Here is a 23,421-nt window from a genome sequence, read left to right as displayed (position 1 = left end):
TATTACAAGGCTATAGTAAACAAAACGTCACGGTACTGGTACCAAAACAGATATATAGACCAATGGAACAGAATAGAGGCCTCAGAAAGAATGCCACACATCTACAACCATCTGATCTTTGACAAACCTGACAAAAACAAGCAATAGGGAGAGGATTCCCTATTTAATAAATGGTGTTGGGAAAACTGGCTAGCCATATGCAGAAAACCAAAATTGGATCCCTTCCTTACACCTTATACAAATATTAACTCAAGATGGATTAAAGGCTTAAACATAAGACCTACAACCATAAAAACCCTAGAAGAAAACCTACGCAATACCATTCAAGACATAGGCATGGGCAAGGACTTCTTAACTAAAATACCAAAAGCAATGGCAACAAAAGCCAAAATTGATAAATGGGATCTAATTAAACTAAGGAGCTTCTGCACAGCAGAAGAAACTATCATCAGAGTGAACAGGCAACCTGCAGAATGGGAGAAAATTTTTGCAATCTATCCATCTGACAAAGGGCTAATATCCAGAATCTACAAGGAACTTAAACAAATTTACAAGAAAAAAATAAACCACCCCATCAAAAAGTAGGCAAAAGATATGAACAGACGCTTCTCAAAAGAAGACATTTATGCAGCCAACAAACATATGAAAAAAGGCTCATCATCGCTGGTCATTAGAAAAATGCAGATCAAAACCACAGTGAGATACCATCTCAGGCCAGTTAGAATGGCGATCATTAAAAAGTCTGGAAACAACAGGTGCTGGAAAGGATGTGAACAAATAGGAATGCTTTCACACGGTTGGTGGGAGGGTAAATTAGTTCAACCATTGTGGAAGACAGTGTGGCGATTCCTCAAGGATCTAGAACTAGAAATACCATTTGACTCAGCAATCCTATTACTGGGTATATACCCAAATGATTATAAATCATTCTACTATAAAGATACATGCACGCATATGTTTATTGCAGCACTATTTACAGTAGCAAAGACTTAGAACCAACCCAATTGCCCATAAATGATAGACTGGATAAAGAAAATGTGGCACATATACACCATGGAATCCTATTCAGCCATAAAAAAGGATGAGTTCACATCCTTTGCAGGGACACAGACGAAGCTGGAAACCATCATTCTCACCCAACTAACACAGAAACAGAAAACCAAACACCACATGTTTTCACTCACAAGTGGGATTGAACAGTGAGAACACATGGAAACAGGGAGGGGAACATCACACGCCAGGGCCTGTCAGGGGGTGGGGGGCTAGGGGAGGGATAGCATTAGAAGAAATACCTAATGTAGATGACAGGTCGATGAGTGCAGCAAACCACCGTGGCACGTGTGTACCTATGTAACAAACCTGCACGTTCTGCACATGTATCCCAGAACTTAAAGTATAATAATAATAATAAAGTAATGGCAAAAACTACGATTACTTTTGTGCCAACCTGTGAGGGAAGGCAGGCTGATTCTTCAGTGGTATTAAGTTGGAATATTCTGACCTTTTAGGGGTTATCAGGGAAGACTTCCTTCAGGAAGGGACTACTGAGCTGAGATCCAAAGAATGTATAGGAATTAACAAGATCAGGGGTTCCCACCTCTGGAGGTAAATTGGAATCACCTGCATAGCTCTTAAAATGCTGATTCCCAGGCCTCTCAGCAGACCAAATAAATTAAAATCTGTTGTGGTAGGACCAAGCCTTTATATTTTCAGGATCCCTTCCCCTGCACTCTAGTAGATTATCATGTGTTGCCAAGGTTGGGAGCCAATGAACTAGGAAGAAGAGACTGGGGACATAGGGAAGGGCATGTGCAAAGTCCCATGAAGGAGAAGGACATGGCCATTGGTGGAGCCTGAAGAAGGCAGGTGCGGCTTGAACACGGAGACGAAGCCTGATCAGGGATGAGGCAGGGAGGAGGGTGCGGGCCAGGAAATACCACACAGGCTGTGCTCAAAATTTTGTTTTTTTATTTTAACATCAATGGGAATCAAGTGGAGATTTTTTTTAATTTTTATTTTTATTACCATTTCTTGGCCACAATCAGCTTTGCATTCTGAGAAGATTCTGACTCCCTGATGAAGAAAAGATTGGAGGGAGCAGGAGGGACTAGACTTGGCCTGTGTGTGCCAGTGGGGAGGGGAGGAGGAACTTGCTTGACCTGCAGGCTGCAAACTGAAGGACAAGCAGTGACTGCTCTCCCACGGTGGGGGGAGAGGGCAGGGTGAGGTCTGTCAGTCAGGTGGCCTCTGTAAGAGCACCAGCCTTGCCAAGAAGGCAGACCATTTTGGCAGCCTCAGCGAGCACTAATCAACAAGTTTGGCCGAAGCCCCTCTCCTCAGGAGGACCAGGCACAGCGGCTTCGACAGCCTCACTTGGCACGGGGCTGGGCGAGGCTGCCGTGATACAGGCAGCCTGCCGGAAGCCATATGCACTGCTTAATTCCTCCACAAACCCACTGCTTGCAGCCACACAGACATATGCAGCCTTAATATGGTTACAGCGTCTTAAACTCCCAAGGAAAGGGGGAGAAGCGATGTTCCCGCCCAAGCACGGTGGTGGAGAGGAGAATTGTCAGAAGTGATTCTTGGCTGAGATTGGCAACATACACTGTCACTTGAACCTATCAATAGACCAGGCTGATGATGTTTTTCACTTAACACCTAGCGACGAGGCTGTCAGAAACTGGCAGGAGATCCTTGCACGCCCTGCCAAGAAAGAGGAACATGAAAAATCTGTCTAAATCCATGCTTGCTAATAAATATACCCCTGGAATTCTTTTTTAAAGAACGCATCATTTCAGATGTCTAGGCAATATTTGCCAGGCATTCAAAAAGCCTGATGGAGCCAGGAGGTTTTTCTCCAGCTCCAGTTTTCATGTGACTTTGGATTGTAGGCAGAACAGGCAAGGCAGGGACTTAGTAAAGGAGGGGCCCCAAAGATATTAATCTTTGTAAATTCTAGTGTGGGGTCAAGTGTGAGGCAAAGAGAACAGACACATGACACTGCCCCTAGGCTCCAGTGACAAGCTGTAGGACCAATGGAGCCAAGATCCTCATGGTACCTGTATCAGAAAAGGACATAGCGGGCTCCTTGGAGGATCCAGAGGGAAGATGCAATAACCACAAGCCAACCCTGTCTGGCTGCTGTGCAGTTGTTTGTGCTCTTCATGAATATTCCCAGTAGGACTGCACTCCTCCTGCATCCCCACAAGCTAGGTGAGGTCATGTGACCTGTGTTGGCCCATGGAGCGATACACATCACACTTCAGGACAGAACCCTTAAGAGCCAATGCACCATGTGTGACTTGCACTTTCTTCCTGCCCCGATGACTGGCAGTAGCTAGGTCACAGAGCAAGGACAACATGCAGAACACTCCAGCTGACCTGCAACAGATGTGGAGCTTATGTGGGAAATACAGTTAGTTGTTTTAAATCACGGAGATGATGGGGATTGCCACAGTATAACCCAGCCCATGTGCTGTTAGAGCCGTTGTGAACAATTCCTTCTCTCTCGGTCATCCTCCACCCTATCATGCGCAGGCTGTCATGGACAGTGGTTACAGTCCAGCAAGTCTGGGTTCTAGTCTACCAGTGATGGTCTTGGATGAGATTCTTAAACTCTCTGAGTCTCCATTTTTTTCACCTCTAAATTGTGAAAAATAATACTATCCTCTCTTTAAGGGTTTTGCATTAATTATATACAATACTATTTAGAAATTATTAACCTTTACTGCACTCTATGCAGAAAAGAGTTAACATAGCAGGCCTGACACTGCAATCCTTAGAAAGGCTTGCTTGCAAGGTTGGCCCTTAGCTAGTTTCTGGGAACCTGGATTTCAGGAGGGTTCCCACTATTCCCTAAGTGATTAAGGGGGCTACTCTAACTAAACTGTTTGTGCAAACAATATCATGTATACTGCACTTGCATTCCTCATGGGAGTCTGGAATTTTGGTATGTTATTAGCAGAAGGTGCCTACATGATCAGCCCCCAACAAAAAACCCAGGGCATGGAGTCTCCAGTGAGCATCTCTGGTTGGCAACATTCCACATGTTTTCACAACTCATTGCTGCGGTAATTAAGCATGGCCTGTGTGATGCCTCTGGGAAACCTGTGCCTGGCTTCCTCCAGGCTTCACCTATGCACCTGTGCCCTTTGCTGATTTCGCTTTGTATCTTGTCACTGGAATGTAACTTACACATGAATCTGACTATATCCTGAGTACTGCGAGTCCTCCGCAGGCATCACCAGACCTGCGGGTTAATTAATTTAATAATAACATATTAAAAAGCTAATTTAATATATTACGTTAATATTAACAATCTTTATACTTACTGTTAACTTATATTAAATTAATTAATATAGTAAATTAACTTATTAATATGCTAACTATTATATATAGTTAAACATATTAAAATATATAAATATATGAATAATATATATTATATATTATATAATATATTATATATAATTTGCATTACATTATTATATAACATAATAAAATCAATTACATAATATACAAATGATATTTATTAAATCTATAATATAGTATATATAATACAATATAATATAATAATTCTTATATATTAATATAAGAATAGCAATATATTCATATATTAATAGTATTCATATATTAATATTATGAATATATTGATATAATAATTATGTATGATACAATCAATTATATAATATATAAATATTATATATTAAATATATAATATATAAATATTGTATATTAAATATATAATATATAAATATTGTATATTAAATATATATAATATATAAATATTGTATATTAAATATATATAATATATAAATATTGTATATTAAATATATATAATATATAAATATTGTATATTAAATATATATAATATATAAATATTGTATATTATATATATAATATATATTGTTTATTAAATATATAATATATAAATATTGTTTATTGAATATATAATATATAAATATTATTTATTAAATATATAATATATAAATATTATATATTAAATATATAATATATAATATAATAATAAAATGCAAATTATATATATAATATATCATGTATTATTTATATATTTATATATTTTAATATGGTTAACTATATATAATAGTTAACCAGATTAATAAGTTAATTTAATATATTAATTAATTTAATGTAAGTTAACAATAAGTATAAAGATTATTAGTATTAATGTAATATATTAAATTAGCTTTTTAATATAAGTTATTATGGTATTATATATTAAATATATAATATGAATTATGTATTATGATATATTGTTATAAATTTATATTATAATGTATTATATATTAAATTTAATATATTAACTTATTCATATGTTACCATACACAGTTAAATATATATTACAGTATAAACATATTAAACTCATTAATATAAGTATAAAAATTGTTAGTATTAATTTATAACTTTAATATTTTAAAGTTATAAACTATATATTAATTTCATATATTAAAAGTTTTAAAAATATTAGTCATAAGTATATATTTATATTATAATTTTAAAGTGTTAAAGTTATAATATATTAATATATTTCAATGTATACTTATTCAATAACTTTAATGCATAGTTATTAAAATATACTTATTAATATACTTTAATGTATACTTTAAAATAAGTATATATACTTACATTAAGTATATATAAGTATATAAATTATATACTTTCATGTATACTTACAACTATTGTTATAAGTTAACAGTAAGTATAAAGATTGTTAGTATTAAAAATAAAAGAAAGAAAGACACACCAAAAGAAATGAAAATAACTAATTCATAGATAAATACAAAGGAAAAACACCTGGAGACCAACTGATGTCCCCAAGGTACTTCCTCAACTACCAACCACCCAGAATGGTGAGTTATTAGCCTAAGATTTTGGAATTACCCTCCCTATAGGACAAGTATTGGCCCCAGGGAATGTGTCTGTCCCTGCTGCACACAAGTGGCCATTCCTAAGGTCACTCAGTAAAAACAGCAATCCTAGGAGCCACAAGAGCTAACATTTATTGAGCTCTCTTCTCTACCTTTGATGTACATTATCTCATTTAAGCCTCAAAACATCGCTCTGGAGTAGGCACAGTCACTATCCTTGTATATAGACGAGAAAACAAGCTCAGAGAGGTGCAGCTATGTGCCCACCAGACAGTGTCACAGGTAAGGGTACGGACTTGGAATCCAGACTGCCTGGGTTCTCATCTCAGCACTGTGGCTGCCATAACAAATTGCCACAAATTAGGAGGCTTAAAATGACAGAGATTAATTCTTTCACAATTCTAGAGGCCAGAAGTCGAAATCAAGGTGTCAGCAGGACCAGGCTCCCTCGGTGGGCTCCAGAGGAGGATCCTTTCTTGCCTCTTCCACTTTCTGGTGGTCCAGGCATCCCTTGGCTTGTGGCTGCAGAGATGGGATGCGGTACCCATCTCTGCCTCTGGCTTCACTTGGCCTTCTCTTCTCTGTCTCTCCTCTTTTGTCTCATATAAGGACATTTGTTATTGGATTTAGGGTCCACCTATTTTAGGATGATCTCAACTCAAGATCCTTAATTACATCTGCAAAGACTCTTTTCCAAACAAGGCCACATTCTAGGTTCCAGAGATGAAGACATAGACAGAGCTTTCAGGGACTGCCATCTAGCTCACTACAAACATCACTACTTAGTGCCATGCCACCTCGGACCAGTTCCTTAACCATCTGACATGTCACAGGATTTTTCTGAGGGCTAAGCAAGGCACGTGGTCTGCCGCATAGTCAGAGCCCCCCAGCACACAGCTGTAATGCAGAGTGACTAAGATTTGAACTCAGGCACGCACAACTACTATTCAGTCTTACTTCCATCTGAGAACAGTTCAAGAGGGAGCCTCCCTTTTGGGTGGGTGTCTGAAGAAATCTTTGTAGACCCAACGACCACCCATTCACCGTCCTGCAGTCATTCTGACTAGAACCTTTCTAAGGACTCTTTTGGTCCAGAGCTTGCAACAGGCTAAACTTCCCCACCAGGCTCCCTCCTGAGGCCCTCAAAGAATAATTCTGGAGAATCTGGGCTCCTCTGTTTCACCATCTCAAAAACCCTGACAGTGATTACTGCTGCCACACTAGAGTACTTTGAGGGTTATCGAGTTAATGACTATAAAGTCTATGGAGCTCTTGAGAGGAAAGAAGCCATAAAAATCAGATAAATAAAACAGTCAATCAGCACGTGTTTATTGTGTCCACAGGGTGCACAGCACTGTACTCAGAAATAAAGATTAAAGGGGAGAAAACTAAAGGAAAAGAAGGAGGAAAGTTAGTTTAACCAAAGTCTTTCCAGGCCAGAGTACAAGGCCAGCCATAAACTAAAAAGCTAGCGCTCCCCAAGGCTTAAAACAATGAAGTGGGTGCCTATGAATCAGTAAAAAAATGATAAAGAACTCAACTGGGGGAAGCAGTGGGCAAAGGATTCAAGTAGGCAGTTCACAGAAAAATAAATACAACTAGCCAATAAGCAATGATGAGACACCATAATTAATCAAATAATAATGAATTACCATCTCTTATTTTTCATGCAGGCACTTTTTTAGTTTTCTAATACACAGTGCATGAAGAGTGTGAAGAAACAGGTACTCTTCATGCACTTTTAGGGACACTATGGATTGGGGTAACCTCTCTGGAGAGCAAGTGGGCAAGAGCTATCACAATTAAAAATATATATACCCTTTGACCCAGCAATCCCACAGTTGAAAATTTACCCTGTGAATAAACTCACAAGAAAACACACGTGGCTAGGCTGGGCACAGTGGCTCATGCTTGGAATCCCAGCACTTTGGAAAGCCGAAGCAGCCAGATCACTTGAGGCCAGGAGTTTGAGACCAGCCTGGGCAAAATGGTGAAACCGTGTCTCTATTAAATAATGTAATAATGTGGAAAACAATGTAAAGATTCTTTGAAGAACTAAAAGTAAATCTACCATTTGACCCAGCAATCCCACAACCAGGTATCTACCTAGAGAAAAAGAAGTCATTATATGAAAAAGACACGCATACTCATGTTTACAGCGGCACAATTTGCAATTGCAAAAATAAGGAACCAGCCCAAATGTCCATCAGTCAATGAGTGGATAAAGAAAATGTGGCGCATGTATATAGACTACTCAGCCTTAAAAAGGAACAAAATAATGGCATTCGCAGCAACCTGGATGGAATTGGAGACCATTATTCTAAGTGAAGTAACTCAGGAATGGAAAACCAAACATTGTATGTTCTCACTAATAAGTGGAAACTAAGCTATGAGGACATAAAAGCATAAGAATAATACAGTGGACTTTGGGGACTCAGGGGAAAGTGTGGGAGGAGGGGTAATAGACTACACATTGGGTACAGTATACGATTGTTGGGTGATAGGTGCATTAAAATCTCAGAAATCACCACTAAAGCACTTATTCATGTAACCAAACAGCAGCTGTTCCACAAAAACCTAATGAAATAAAAAATAAATTAAAAAAATAATAAAGGAATAATGCATATCCTTATATAACCAGGTATTTTTTAAAAACCTGGCTATAAAAGGATACGCATTATTACATTACTGCTCTTAATAACCGAAAATTGGGAACAAGTTGATGTCTAAAAGTAGAACAGTGATTACATTATGGGTAATGTATATGGTAAACATTAGGCAGATGTAAATGAAGTAACTACCTGGCTGGCAAGAGCGTGTGCCAAACTATCACATTAAGAAAAAAAAAAAAAAAACTACCGCAGAACAATATGTGCTATAAGCATAGCTGGGTCTGCACCTCTGGCCCTGCTGTAGCCAAGGCCTGCCCCACCACAAAGATATCAGGGTTAGGGCTTTCTCTGTGAAAGCCAAATTCCACCCAGATTCTTCACCACAGAAAGGAAGAACATAGCAAATCAATTAAGACCTTGAACTTGGAGTCAGATGACCAGGTTCAAATCCCAATTCTGGTGCCACTTACTAGGTGTGACATAGGGCAGGTCACTTCATCTCTCTGTTTCTTAATTTTCCTAAAATAGCAATAGCATCAGTACTTGCTTCACAGAGTCATTCTGAGAAACAAATGTGTTACTATCTAAGGAGAGCTTTTAAACAGAGCTTGGCGGATAGTCACTACCTCTGTAAGTGTTGTTAGGCAAATAAATTGGACTCAAATGGTAAGCACCCCATCTTCTGAATCCCAGTGTGACCCCCGCCCCCGTTAATGTGGCCCCAAACACTCAAGGGGTAAAGAAGGGAAAGGAAAGTGCCTTGTAGTATTCAATGGGCCACTCTACAGGATGAAGTCATCTTGAAAAGGATAATTAGGCCTCCACTTGGTTTTCATTTTATTTCGTTTTCTTGCCTACAGTTGACACACAGGGAGATTGTTACCTCCACAGCCGCCAACAGCAAAGCTGCCCGGTTTCTCCTATTTCTATAGCGAACTCCTGAAAGAGAGAAGTCTGCTGGTGCAAACTGCTTTCATGGGAGGAAGCATCTAAAATGCATTTTAATTTCCATTTGTGTGAAGCTTTTGTATCAAATTACAGATCTGGGGCACAGTGCATCTCAGTGAAGAATCCCATTTTCCATCAGTTTAGATGCATTTGTCGTACTGTCAAGGGGTAAAATATTAAGGCTGAAATCGTATCTCCATTGGCGACTGTCTGCTGGTGTCCCACTTCCTGTGTTGATTGAGTCAGATGACAGAGCAACAATTAGTATTCAGAGACAAGCGCTGCCCCCTTCGAGGCCCCAGACCAGGCAAAGTGGCAAGTCCAAGGGGCTTCTCACTCAAATGCAGTCATGTCAGTGGTCTGTCATTAACAGCAAGATCACCAGTCAACTAGGGCCAGCCAAGGTTGCTTGAATAAACTAAAACAGAAGCTGGCAGAATGCGATAAAGCAGCTAAATTCTGCAAAACTACCAAGTGACTGTTTACCAGGCTGCTGAATGCACCTAGTTTATTTTATGCAAGTCAGACTAAGCCTGCATTTGGAGGTCAAAGCAACTAGGCTAGAAAAGCCACCATTCCTGGCCGGGCGTAGTGACTCATGCCTGTAATCCCAGCACTTTGGGAGGCTGAGGCGGGTGGATCACGAGGTCAGGAGATCGAGACCATCCTTGCTAACACGGTGAAACCCCGTCTCTACTAAAAATATTTTTAAAAATTAGCCGGGCGTGGTGGCAGGCGCCTGCAGTCCCAGCTGCTCGGGAGGCTGAGGCAGGAGAATGGCATGAACCCGGGAGGCAGAGCTTGCAGTGAGCCAAGATCGCACCACTGCACTCCAGCATGGGGGACAGAGCGAGACTCCGTCTCAAAAAAAAAAAAAAAAAAAAAGCCACCATTCCTTAAATAGTTCTTATTTCTCTGGCTGGGCATATTAAGGTGGCCTCATTGGAGTGTACAATTTCTGCCCTGTACAAGGCTGCTGAAATAGATTCCCCTTCTCTGACTCTAACCTTCCTGCAGTGGCCAGGACTGCTCCCTTGGGTGCCCAGGACCAGTCAAAAATCACCTGTTTGTGATTACACTAGACTCATCTGGATAATCCAGTATAACCTCCCCATGTCAAGATTCATAACATTCACAAAGTCCCATTTGCCATGTAAGGTAACATACTCACTGGTTCCAGGGATTTGGATATGAATGACTTAGGGACCATTATTCTGCCCCCCCACACTGACCTAAGAGAGTGGTCCTAAGAACCAGACTCAAAGGAAGGGCTGTGGAGTTGGATCACTGATTAGTTGCCTGGCAACGTGGAGTTTATCACTAGTGGGAGGTGGAGCATCATCATCTGTGGGCACAGCATGATTGCTAAGACTTTCACCTGTGGAGAACCGGGACCAGAAAGGGGCAGAAGGGGAGATACTGGTTTGTGCAGTGTCTCTGGTGTTGGAGAGGAGTGAGAGATACAGTAATTCTAAGGACCGTGAAATTAGGTGGCTGTCACTGAATACCATGAATGCCTCCAAGAGAAAAAATGGCAGCCTCAGGGCAGTCACTCAATAATTTAGAGCAAACAGTGTCAGAGAGCATCCCTGGCATTATTTAAAGAAATGCTCATCTTCTTCAGCATAAAGACAGAGCTGAAGAACAGACACAGAACCTAATTGTAAGAGCAGCTGAAGTTCAGAGTTCTTAGATTCTTAGCCTAGGCACATCTCTTCCACCAAAGTCAAAATCCTTATGGGAAGAAGTGGGACTCTGAGACCTGGGGTGGAGACACTTGAAAACATGCATTTGAGCTCCTTCAACCCTATGATCCCCCTGAACCCTTTAGGCCTGCAAAAGTCTCCTCCTCCCTCTCACTGGAAGACAGAGCCCCTTCCCTTGAAGAATGAGCAAAGCCACTAATGAGGTAGGTGCCCAACAAAACAATGCCCCCACATCCTCTGCTGGCTACCAGACCAACACCAAGAATTGACTCTCAGCCTGACCTGACTGGGAAAGTGTTGAGCCTTCCAGGGAGAGAAGGTTTCTATACCACAGGGGCTCCAACTGGCTAACATGAATGGGCTCACATGGCTAACTTGGGCCAACATAGCCTGTCCATGTTAACTAGCTAACATGGGTGGGCAAGAACCAGGAGAGTGTGGGAGTAACTGCAAGGGTGCTGGGCCCATGGGTGCAGAACATAAAGCATTTGGGATAAAAAAAAGAGTTTATTTGATGGGTAACCATCAAATATAGGCTTTAACACCTGGCAAATCTCTGAGGGATGAGTCTTCCATGCAGCAAGGATGGCTCTTGGGAGCTTAGGTTTAAGCCCCTCAAGATGGAAGGCAAAGGAGAAGAGGGATGTGGGTAATAATTTAATTAAAGTCAACTGTTACAGTGCCTTTGAGGTTTGGAAGTCATTGCCAAGGTATCTGGAAAAAGAAATCCGAGCTGACATTCTAGGAAGCTCCAGTTCTTTGTGGGATCTGAGGGAAAGAAAACTCCCCTTGTTGGAAAATGGCATCGCTGCCTCCTTTTACTAGGAGTGATCAATATGACACCTCCTGAGGAAAAAAGAGCAACCAGCAGACCTGAGGAATGCTGCTCTTAGAAAGCTCTGCCTGCAAGGTCGGACCTTGGCTGACACCTGGATACTTTGATTTGGAGAGGGTTCCCTCCATTCTCAGAACTGGAAAGTGGGCTCACTGCATCAACACTGTTCATGCAAACAATATCATTCATGCTAAACGCCTGCTCTCCTTACTGAGATCTGGAATTTTGGTACATGCCAGGAAAAGGGTGCCTACATGACTAGCCTCCAATTTAAAAACCCAGGGTCCTGATTCTCTCGTGAGCTGTCCTGCTTGGCAACATGCATACAGGTTATCACAGTATGTTGCTGGAGGAATTACACTTGTCCTGCGTGACTCCACGGGGAGAGGATAGTGGGAAGCTTGTGCCTGGCTTCCTCAGACTTCACCCCCTGTGCCTCTTCCCTTTGCTGATTTTGCTGTGTATCATTTCACTGTCATAAATCATAGCTTTCAATATGGCTGTATACTGAATCCATGAGTTCTTCTAGCAATTCATCAAACCTGGGAGTGGTCCCGAGGACCTCCATCATATACTACGACAACCAGATAAACATAGTTCTTTTCATACATATTTTTCTAAATGTTCCTGAGGGCAAGAAACTTAGTGGATCATGAAGAAAATACACTCTTCCCTTAAGAGTTCAAAAGTTAAGGTGTTCGTTTCCTTCTATCCTGAGGGATTTTGCTTCCCTTTGTACCCACTGTTGACGTGTTCCAGCTTCTTTAATGTGTAAGGACTCTGGTTTCATACTTAGAGGTTTGTGTTCTTGCCTTACAAAATATAACTTTTTAGAATTTCTTGGGGAGGCTCCTTTCCCACTCCAAAAGCATAGATACAGAATTTTTTTATTCCACTGCCCCAGAGATCTCTAAAATGTTCAAAATGTTCATGTTTATTCCTCAGACCACATTTTCTAAACTACCCCTTTCACTAATAAATGGAACCAAAGCCCTGTTGGACAGATTTCATGTTCTGGCAGTGAAGGGATGGGAGAGAAGACTCAGGTAATGCCTGGGAGCCTAGAAGAGTATTTCTATCAGACTAAGGAATAGATAAGATTTTCTGAGAATCCCAGTTGATCTTAAGAAACACTAAGAGGCCTGGTGAGGTGGCTCATGCCTGTAATCCCAACATTTTGGGAGGGTGAGGCGGGCAGATGGCTTGAGTTCAGGAGTTCCAGAACAGCCTGGACAACTGTGTTAGGGTTCTCCAGAGGGACAGAACTAATAGGATACATGTATATATGAAAGGGAGTTTATTAGGGAGAATTGGCTCACATGATCACAAGGCAAAGTCCCACAATAGGCCATCTGCAAGCTGGGCAAGAAAGAAGCCAGTAGGGGCTCAGTCTCAACCTAAAAGCCTCAAAATCAGGGAAGCCAACAGTACAACCTTCAATCTGCGATCAAAGGCCCAAGCACCCCCAGCAAACCACTGGTGTAAGTCCAAGAGTCCAAAGGCTGAAGAATCTGAAGTCTGATGTCCAAGAGCAGAAGGAACAGGAGGAAGCATCCAGCATGGGAGAAAGGTGAAAGCCAGAAGGCTCATCAAGCCAGGGTATCCCACCTTCCTCCGTCTGCTTCATTCTAGCCCTGCTGGCAGCTGATTAGATTGTTCCCACTCACATTGAGGGTGGGTCTTCCTCTCCCAGTCCACTGATTTGGATGTCAGTCTCCTCTGGCAACACCCTCACAGCTACACCTAGAAACAATAATTTACCAGCTATCTAGGCATCCTTCAATCCAATCAAGTTAACACCTAACATTAACCATCACAGCAACATAGTGAGACCCTATCTTTACAAATACAAAAAAATAAGCTGGGAGGGGTGGTGCATGTCTATAGTCCCAGCTACATGGGAGGCTGAGGTAGGAGGATTGCCTGACCCTGGGAGGTTGAGGCTAAAGTGAGCTGAGATTGCACTACTGCACTGCAGCCTGGGCAACAGAGTGAGACCCTGTCTCAAAAAAAGAAAAAAGAAAAAAAAAAAGAAAGACTAAGCATTATCATAGTTGACCAAGTCTTAAAGAAAGACTAAGAATTATCACGGTGTAAAATCTGGCAAAGAGGACCATTTGAGTGAAAAGGGACAGGAGTAAAAAATGGCTGAGGTCATTCCAAGAACCTTCAAGGAGCTCAAATTCTGGACTGAAGGGGCGGAGAGATGGCCTAGTCAGGTGCACAGGGAAGCTGTCCTCCCTCAAAGTTTACCAAGGAAAAGGGAAAGTCTACTCCAGGGGTAGGAGCATCTATGAAAGCAAGCTCTGTGTGCAGGGTGGAACCCACAAATCATCTCACCAATTGATTCTCAAGTTGCTGTATTATTTTTCTGGTTGGAATGTTATTTTTCTCTTCTCTATTCCCAGTGCTCCATCCTAGACAACTTTTCTTCCAGTTTCCTTGGGTCCCATTCCCTGACCAGGCTCCTCAGCCCTCAGTTCCCCTGATCTCTGGTCCAGTCTTATTAGGCATAAGATGATGGTACTACAGTCTGATGCTTAGTCAACCCGTGCTCTGTCCCAGCCCTGGGATTCTTGCCCCACCCTGCCATCTCATAGATATCTGCATGGGGACAGAGGAGTTGGGTGGCTGACTAGTCAGGGTCATGGTAGGAAAGAGATGGCATGTTGAAGGGGTGAAAGGTTAAAAGGACTCTTTAGAAAAATGTGGGCAAAGTGAGGAAAATGAACAGGGAATGAAGCTCCCCGGGGCTAGCAATGGTGGGAAGCTGAGACCACCCCCAAGACTGAAAGGACAGAAGGAGGGAGAGTTACCAGAACTCAACAAGACCTACAGCTCTGGGAGAGGGCCACCTTACAGGAGCGACGGCCCACAACAGAGAACTGCAACAATGCCAACTTGTGCCCCATCAGGAGGTGAAGTAGGAATTCAAATAGGCTTTCCTCCACTTCTTTCCCTCCAATCTCCTGCTGCTGCCACCATTGACCAAACCCAGTGAGAAACCAGAGGAAAGGCAACTCACGCACAGGTCTAGGGATGCACATGAAGGATCCTGGATTAACAGCTAAGTACAAGTCAAGACATATAAACTTATAATTCAAAATATATCCCAATCATTTTAGTCTCTATGAAATAGAAAACTGATGCCAAGAAAATTTTAAAACTTATGTTAAGATGCAACTTTACACTTTCATAGCACATACCTTGGTAGGCAGCCAGTTATTAACATGCTCAGGTGTCTGAAGTGGCCCTCTCCCCCTAGTAGGTAGATAAAAGATGCCACATTAGAACAGGACGGGAGTGTCTGGGGATAGAACTAGGCCCTTCAGTACTTCTCTGGGGTAGCAAATAAAACAGATTTTGCTGCCTGTCACCCCCCACAGCAGTGTTTGCACTTTCTAGCAATCATGTCTCTTGTATTATCAATTTCACTTTTATGCAGTTACCAGGACTCAGTTCTGATGAACCCAGCAGACACCCTCCTTCCTGCCTTAGTCCTCAGTCACCTTGGAGTCTTGTTTCAAAAACTGGCTTTCTGATCAATTTCATGTTTTCACAGTCAACAGGCATTAATCCTAATGAACACCGCTTATTATGGGCTCTCCCTCACAAGTGGTAGGGAATTCCTGCGTGAAGTGGAGGCTCAGATGTTTTTGCAGCTTCCTGTGCATATAAGCCACTTTAGAGTTTCTCTAAAATTGAAGTTACTGTCCTCCAGGGTAAAGAGCTTAGAGGCAGTGCAGGCTGAAGGGGTGGCCACAAGAGCAGGAAAAGGAGGGGAGGCTGGGAGAGTGAGTGTCCCGATTTCTTCCAGGTGGCAGTGATGCCTGCCTCCACAGGTGAGCAGAAAAGCACCCATAGAGAGTGATATGGTTTGACTGTGTGCCCACCCAAAGCTCATCTTGAATTGTAGCTCCCGTAATTCCCATGTGTCACAAGAGGGACCTGGTGGGAGGTCATTGAATCATAAGGGTGGGTCTTTCCCATGCTGTTCTCATGGTAGTGAATAAGTTTCACAAGATTTGATGGTTTTATAAATGGTAGTTCCCCTGCACAAGCTCTCTTTTGCCTGCTGCCATGTAAGATGTTCCTTTGCTCTTCCTTCATCTTCTGCCATGATTGTGAGGACTCCCCAGTCATGTGGAACTGCGACTCCATTAAATCTCTTTTTCTTTATAAATTACCCAGTCTTGGGTATGTCTTTGTTAGCAGTGTGAAAATGGACTAATACAGAGGCTTTGTTCGCTTTTCTTTCACGGCAAAACTCCCACTCAGTTTAACAGATAATTGCCATTGGGTAACATTTCTCCAATTAACATTTTTCTTTTCATTAATAGTTCTTTGAGCAAGGAAACTAACTCATTTCTTGCCACGTTTGGAGGTGCGATCCTCCTTGGTGCTATAGAAAGGCAGGGTAGTATAGTGGTTAAGAGTTGAGGTTCTGCAATCAGTCAGTCCTGGGATTAAATCTCAACTCTACCACTTACTGGCTACACAACCTTAAAAAGGCCACTTAACTACCTTAGAAAGACTACTTCACTTTCTGGGCCTGTTTTCTTACCTGTACATTCTTATCTGTAAGGTAATTATAATCCTTTCTCACTGAATTTTTTAAGAAGATTAAAAAAGAGAACACAGAGAAAGCTCAGCATAGCCTCAGAATAATTAAATATAAAATTACCATATGAGTCAGCAATTCTACTTCTCAGTATGTATCCAAAATAACTGAAAACAACGATTCAGTCACTTATACATGAATCTTCACAACAACACTATTCACAGTAACCCAAAAGTGAAAACGGTCCAAATGCCCGTCAGCTGATGAATGGATAAACTGTAGCCTATCATAACACTGGAATATCATTCAGCCATAAAAAGGAGTGGGGAGTGACTGCTTCATGGGCATAGGGTTTCCATTTGGGTCATAAAAACATCTGAAGCTAGATAGGTGTGATTGTTGTGCAACGTTGTGAATGTACTACATGCCACTAAATTTCACAGTTTACAGTGATTAATTTTATGTTGTATGAATTTCATCTCAATTTTTTAAAAAGTTCAGCATAGTGTGAGGAACATACAAAGTGGGCAGTAAATGGTAGCAATTATGACATCCCCAGGGAAGCTTATATCTCCCTCTGGGTTGCATTCAAAGACTCCTTGTCAGCTACAGGCTTCTGCAGCTGCAGGTGGGTGAAATGTAGCCAAAACTCTTCAGCTGGGCAGCCAAGCCCCTCTATGCCAGTTCCCAGATCACATCACTAACTTTAGCTCTCAATGTCTCCCTCTACCAGTGATTTTCCCCATTTGTGGAGGTGAGGGGGTCATTAATTCTTTTAAGAATCTGCTGGAAGCATTGAATCCTGTCTTCAGAGGGAAAATGCAAACAAAATTTTCACTCGGCTTTTCAGGTTTCAAGACCATTCATGAGCAGTAGGAATGTTCCCTTTGACCTTCTTTCATTCTTACCCTACCCTCACCCAGCAATGTCTGCCCATCCTTTAAGGCCCAGCTAATACACAACATATCTACTGTGACTACCTCAGCCTTCAAGGCCCTTCCCTTTCTCAGAATTCTTCTGGAAATCCATATGATATCACCTACTTGGTATATTACCACACACTGCTTTGTATTGCAGGATTTCTCTTCTTTTTTTTCACAGGTTTACTTTTATCTCTAACTGTATTGTAAACCAGAGGGTGCAAATTCAAATGTCTCCAGAACCCACGTAGTCAGGGATGATGATAGACTGGAGAGAATCTCCCTCTTCTAAAAACCCTGGTGTCTCTGGGTCTATAGTTTGTCATGGAAAGTCAGAAATCTGGACATTTATGTGAAATCTTTTAGTTTTCAAATGCTAATAACTACCCCCCAGAAGCACATATTAGGTGGACACATTTTGTTGAATGCATGGCTGGTCTTGGTCAGACAAAAGACATAGTCAAAGTAATAACTTCTGCAGGCCCTGATTTACTAGAATACAGCTTGGGTGAATTCTAGGGTGCCTGGAGGGCTTTGACCTAGCATTCTAGGACAACCAACCACCTGTTAGCCAAAGTGACTGGGGTCTGATTTTTCTTTAAAAGGTCTAATACTTTGCTTTAAGGCTCACTCCCAGGAAGGAGATTTCAGATTGTGTCTTGACTGAAGACTGAAAAACCGTGCTTAGGTTAGAGGTGGTGATAACTTGGATCATTTCACAATTGTTTGTGCAGTTATTTCATGACACATATTGGACTGGGCACAAGAGATGCAATAAGGAACAAGACAGACTATACCCGTGCTCAGGAGTTCAGAAATGAAATGCAAGAGGATACTGATGAGGAAGAATAAGAATAGGGCATACATGAAATTAAAAATACAAATGGCCAACAAATAAACACAAAGATGTTCATCATCACCAGCACTCAGGGACATACAAATTAAAAAGCACTTCACATGGGCAAAAATTAAGAAGTGTGCTAATGTTGATGTGGGAAAATGGCTTCTCTCTGAACTACAAGTGGTATCATAATTTGGCTCAGGCCCTTTCAAGGGCAATTTGCTGGTGCCATTAATGTTTAAATGTGCATCCCCTGTGACTCAGTGACTCCACTTCTTTGTAGCCACTTTGGAGAAAACACTCATAGTACAAAAAAGACATATTCAAGTACATTCAATGGAACATTGTTTTCAAGGCAAAAAAAAAATCCTATATCAATAGGGAACTGTTGGAGCAAGCTGTCCTATGCGATTGTATAATGAAATTCTATGCAGTACGTAAACCAGTAAGGTAGGTTTGTTGGTCCCAACACGTAAAGTCTCTAAGACACAGTGCTGAAGGAAATGCACAGACAGTAAATACGACTACTCATTTTGTATGATACAATTCTATGGGTTAAAAACACACAGATGTTTCTAGTTTAAAGGGATCTAGACTAAATTCAAAAGAGTGGCAGCTTCTTATATGGAAGAATTCTCTGGAGATGGCTGGTGATGCTCAAGGTAACTGGAGACTTACTAGGAATCTTTGAAAAAACACGCTCATGCCGTACCTGTGTGGTTGACAAAATTTAAAACACTTAGATGATTTCACGGATCTGTTTTCATCAAGGACATCTGTGATGTTCCACTTTCTCACAAGCCAGAAAATCTCATAGTTCTCACCCCAGCATTATTTGCACATTTTTGTTGTTGTTGTTGATTATATCATAGTGACTCTCTAACAACTGACTATACTATAACCTTGTACTTTCCCTAAGTTTCAAAATTGGTGTTTCAGGCCCATTTTTATTTCCATTTATAAAGCTGTCTTTCTTTCAAAATAAAAACTGCTCAGACATGTGTTTTGGGGAGGCTGGGCCCAGCTAGGATCAGCTAGAAGCCTGAAATCACTCTCAGATGCCAAGCTGGCTGCTGGGTTCCTCCAAGAACTGCTGTAAGGGGTAGTAAAACAAATCTTTGTGGCTAAACAAAGCCGGCACCAAAGCCCAGTTCCACCTACCCTGGTTGTGAGACACACAGGACATCTATCATTCTTATTTGGCTGTCCAGTGTTGAAGAGCCCCCTAACACATCAGGAAGTGAAAATCCTTCCAGTCTCTCTTGCAGTGAGGGTCCAGCACATAGCCGAGACTCCTCCCATCACCCACTTGCCACGAAGCAATGGGAGCAGGTAAGCCAAAGCAGCAGCACTTGTGGCAGCCATTCTGGCAAAGGTGGCAGCCTCAGCTTCACCATCTTCCCAAGGCTGCTGTTACCCAGGCTTGCTCTGTCTTGTTTGCTGTGAGCAGGACACACTTCAGGGTCTATACCTGGGACATCAGTGGTAGGGTCTTTGGTGGTGGTGTTCTTGGCTGTACGGCTTCTAGACCTGTAGTTCCAGCCCTCCCGTAGATCCTTCAAACTTCCCAACAACATATTGACAAATTGATTTTCTGCTTGGTCAGGGTTGGTTTCTATTAGTTGCATCTGAGAACCTCACTGACCTGGTAATCTTGGGAAAGTTACCTAATTTCTTCTGTTTCTTCATCTATGAAAATGAGAATAATAATGTCTATTTCACAGGGTTACAAAGAGATAAAATATATGCCATATATTTAAAATATACATATTGCATATATGAAGTATATTTTAAAATGCACATACATAGTAATATATTGACTGAATGTTTTATGCACTTACATGAATTTATGAATATTATATATCTATATATAACATCTACATTAGGTAAAATAAATTAAAACGTCGAACCCTATAGTTTTCTCCCCAGGGTTGGGGGCAGTGGGGTGTGATGGGTTCTTAGGATTTATAGTAGATTGTTGTTTATTTCCACTCCTAACATTTCATAGATAAATGGAAAGGCAAATGATGTAAAGTTTTTCAAGGAGGCAGGAAAAAAATAAATTAAAAGACGGGATTTGTGGACCTAAGCTTGAGTATAAATAACTGCTCCAAACCACCTGTGACTCGCTTATTTTGTGTGTAATCTGTGGTGACCTTTTCACTGAAGGCCAATTTTCTGATATCAGAATAAATTCTGACCATAGTCCAGCTGGCTTGACAGCATTCACAGAACTTACCTCTTCTAATACAAGTCCCATTAAACATAATTAGAGCTGAAAATCTTCTGGAAAACAACTCTTGAGTCCCAGAGTGAAGTCCACAGCCGAACAGGTGACATCAAGATTAATGACCTAGTTGGGTGCCCATGCCAGCGTTCCCTTGTCAGCCCAGGTAATCAAGAGGCAGAATATGTGATAGTATGGAAGGGCCTCCGGGATCCCAGTGTGCAAATTAGTCTGAGCATCAGATTCTCTAGAACCAGGAATTTATCCTGTCCCTCTGTTCACAGGGAGTATGTAACCATCATGACAGGTCCTCCGGCTGCTTGATCAGCAGAGGGGAAGAGAGACTGGAGGTTCCCATTTCCCAGATCCATGGGAGCCTCAGAAATGAGCAGCCTCAGCCAACAGAGACAGAAATAGAGGTGAGGTGAAAATGAGTGTGTCTTTTCCTAACTCTCTCTGGACCATCCGCAGGACAGATACAGAAACTCCCTCACAAATTGTCAGGGCACAGTCACTGTGTTCCTCATTAAGCCTTTTCACCTGAGGACTCCAAGCTTCCCCAGGACATTCCTTCATACATTCAAGCAATAGGAAAAGATAAGCAGAAAGCACAAACCCCAAACTCCAATGGGGAGAAAAGGCAGCAGCATATCTCAGCCTGAAACCAAAGCAGTCCTCTGCTTTGATTTTAAAATAATGATTGATCAAAAGGGATCACAACCACTTCTCCTCCCTTAATTCAGGAGCTGGTTAATGTACTGGGAGATGAAGGGGCCCCACAGCCATCTTTCTTCTCCCTCTTCCTCCCTATACTCTAGCCATTTCTTCAGGAAAAAGGGAGTTTATAAATATCTATTACATGCTTCTCTAGTGTACTTTACGCAATACTTTGCTTATAAAACCCTTTTCTTCTCTGTGGGAAATTATTCCATGTGGTTTACATGGGGCTAAACTTGCTATTCACAGACAGCCCCTGCCCAACACACATGCACACACACACACACATACACACACACACACACACACTGCCACCATAGTAGTGAACACCAATACCCAGAAGTGGCCAGTCCAAGAGTGACCATATGACCTATGACCTAAGTCAGGCCCATCAGAGCTTCCTCTGATATATGAACACCAAAAAGGATAATATCATCTTGAGCTACTTCTGGTCATTTCCTGCAAAAATATGGGGAAAGTTGTCTGTAGTACGAGAGAATGGAACCACCATCCAAAGAAAGAGATGAAAGGATAAACAGGAATAGACACACAGAGCCCTCATGCTATCAAATGAGCCATTAAAAGAATGCTGTTTAATAAATGAAGAAATTCAAAACAAATCCACTCACTTGTAATAAGAGGTTTGAGGTTAGAAATGGTGAAAGAGTGAAAGGGAAGTTGACCCCACAGGCTATAAATAAAGCTGTGGGTCATAGTGTGATCTTGGCATTTATATAGCACCTGCTGAGTGCCCAGCTCTAAACCAGGGGCTTTTTGATATGTTTTGTGTAGCAACTGAGAGGGAGGAATTCCTTGGAACTCACACTAATTTATTTAACAAGGAAAGTGCCTGGCTAAGACTTTGATACAGAGAGGTACTTAATAAATGTTTTATTGAATAGTGTGATCTGATAAATTCAGGAGACAGGGGGACTATATTCTCCCTTGATCTTCACATAATACTTCTATTCATTCCCTTTATGTATATGACTTCTTATCCACTAATTGACTGTGTGCTCTTAAACTGGGGCTCTGCTATCCCATACCCTTGCAAATTACTCTTCAATGTCTAGTCTCTGCTATGAATTTATTCCTATGAAAATTCATCTTTTAGCCCCACCCATCATCTTGGTCTGTCAACATGATGCGGAATCATGACTCCATCATCCAACATTTAAGTTTCTTCCTTTCAACTCTGAATCATTTAAAAATTTAACAGGCTTAACTGATATATCTGTATTATAACTATTGGTAAATACAGGCAAGATAAGGAGAAGATGGTCCCACAATATACAGGTAGAGAAAACTCCCTTCCTTCCTCCAGAAAAAAAAAAATGACATTAGTAGAAGATCTTCATATATAGTTAAATACCCAGTTATAAATCAACCTGCTAACTAACTGGGCCCACATTTCCACCTGCCAACTATGGGGGTTTTATGAAAGATGCTGTCAGATGCCCTGCTGGATATCATGCACATCCTGCCTCCAGGCTGTTATAAGAGTACAAGAATCTGATCACATAAGAATTAAATTTGGTTTGACACGACCAGTTCTTGGTGAACCCATTCTGGCTCCCAGTAATCCCAGCTCCCATTTCCACTGCCTCACAAGCCATCTGTTTGATAATTGAGTCTGGGACTGCACCGTTCACTAGTGTCAAATTCACTGGCCGATAACTTCTAAAAGAACCTTCCTTCTCTTTGGGAAAGTTCAAAATCTGTCTATTATCAGTCTTCAGTCACCTCTCCTTTTTCTATTCAACAAATAAATATTTAAAGAATGCCTAACCATGTGGCTCTGTGTTAGGCATTTGGCAAATAGAGAGGAGTAAGCAGACAGGGTTGCTATTCTTAGAGAATTCCAATGACCATTGCCAACAATAGCATTTCAATCAAGCAAGCATAACATGAGAATCTCCCATGAAATTCTCCCATAACATGGGAGAATCAAGCAAACACAACATGGGAGAATCTCCTGTTGTGCTTCACCAGGTCTATCTCTGGGGGAAATAGATCTGAGTTAGTGACTTTGGCTGCATGTTGCTGGAATTCTTCCTACGACTCTCTCACCTCTGCAACTCCACTCAGATATACCAAGGAATTCCTCTCTGCTCTGGCAGTTCTAAGAAAAATAATGAGACAAATGGCTGGCAGTTGCTGAGCTGT

General features: G+C 41.3%; 2 annotated features.

Annotated features, from left to right (window-relative positions):
• Positions 1,850 to 2,349: an enhancer, noted in NCBI's record as "H3K4me1 hESC enhancer chr16:82336089-82336588 (GRCh37/hg19 assembly coordinates)". NCBI's record gives its function as "activates a minimal SCP1, AML or CMV promoter by ChIP-STARR-seq in primed H9 embryonic stem cells {active_cell/tissue: H9 hESC(primed)}" and the evidence as "EXISTENCE:reporter gene assay evidence [ECO:0000049][PMID:30033119]".
• Positions 2,350 to 2,851: an enhancer, noted in NCBI's record as "H3K4me1 hESC enhancer chr16:82335587-82336088 (GRCh37/hg19 assembly coordinates)". NCBI's record gives its function as "activates a minimal SCP1, AML or CMV promoter by ChIP-STARR-seq in primed H9 embryonic stem cells {active_cell/tissue: H9 hESC(primed)}" and the evidence as "EXISTENCE:reporter gene assay evidence [ECO:0000049][PMID:30033119]".

This window comes from Homo sapiens, chromosome 16, assembly GCF_000001405.40.
Source record: "Homo sapiens chromosome 16, GRCh38.p14 Primary Assembly".
Taxonomy (NCBI): Eukaryota; Metazoa; Chordata; class Mammalia; order Primates; family Hominidae; genus Homo; species Homo sapiens.
The sequence above is the reverse complement of the archived record's forward strand: the minus strand, read 5'-3'. Positions and strand labels throughout refer to the sequence as shown.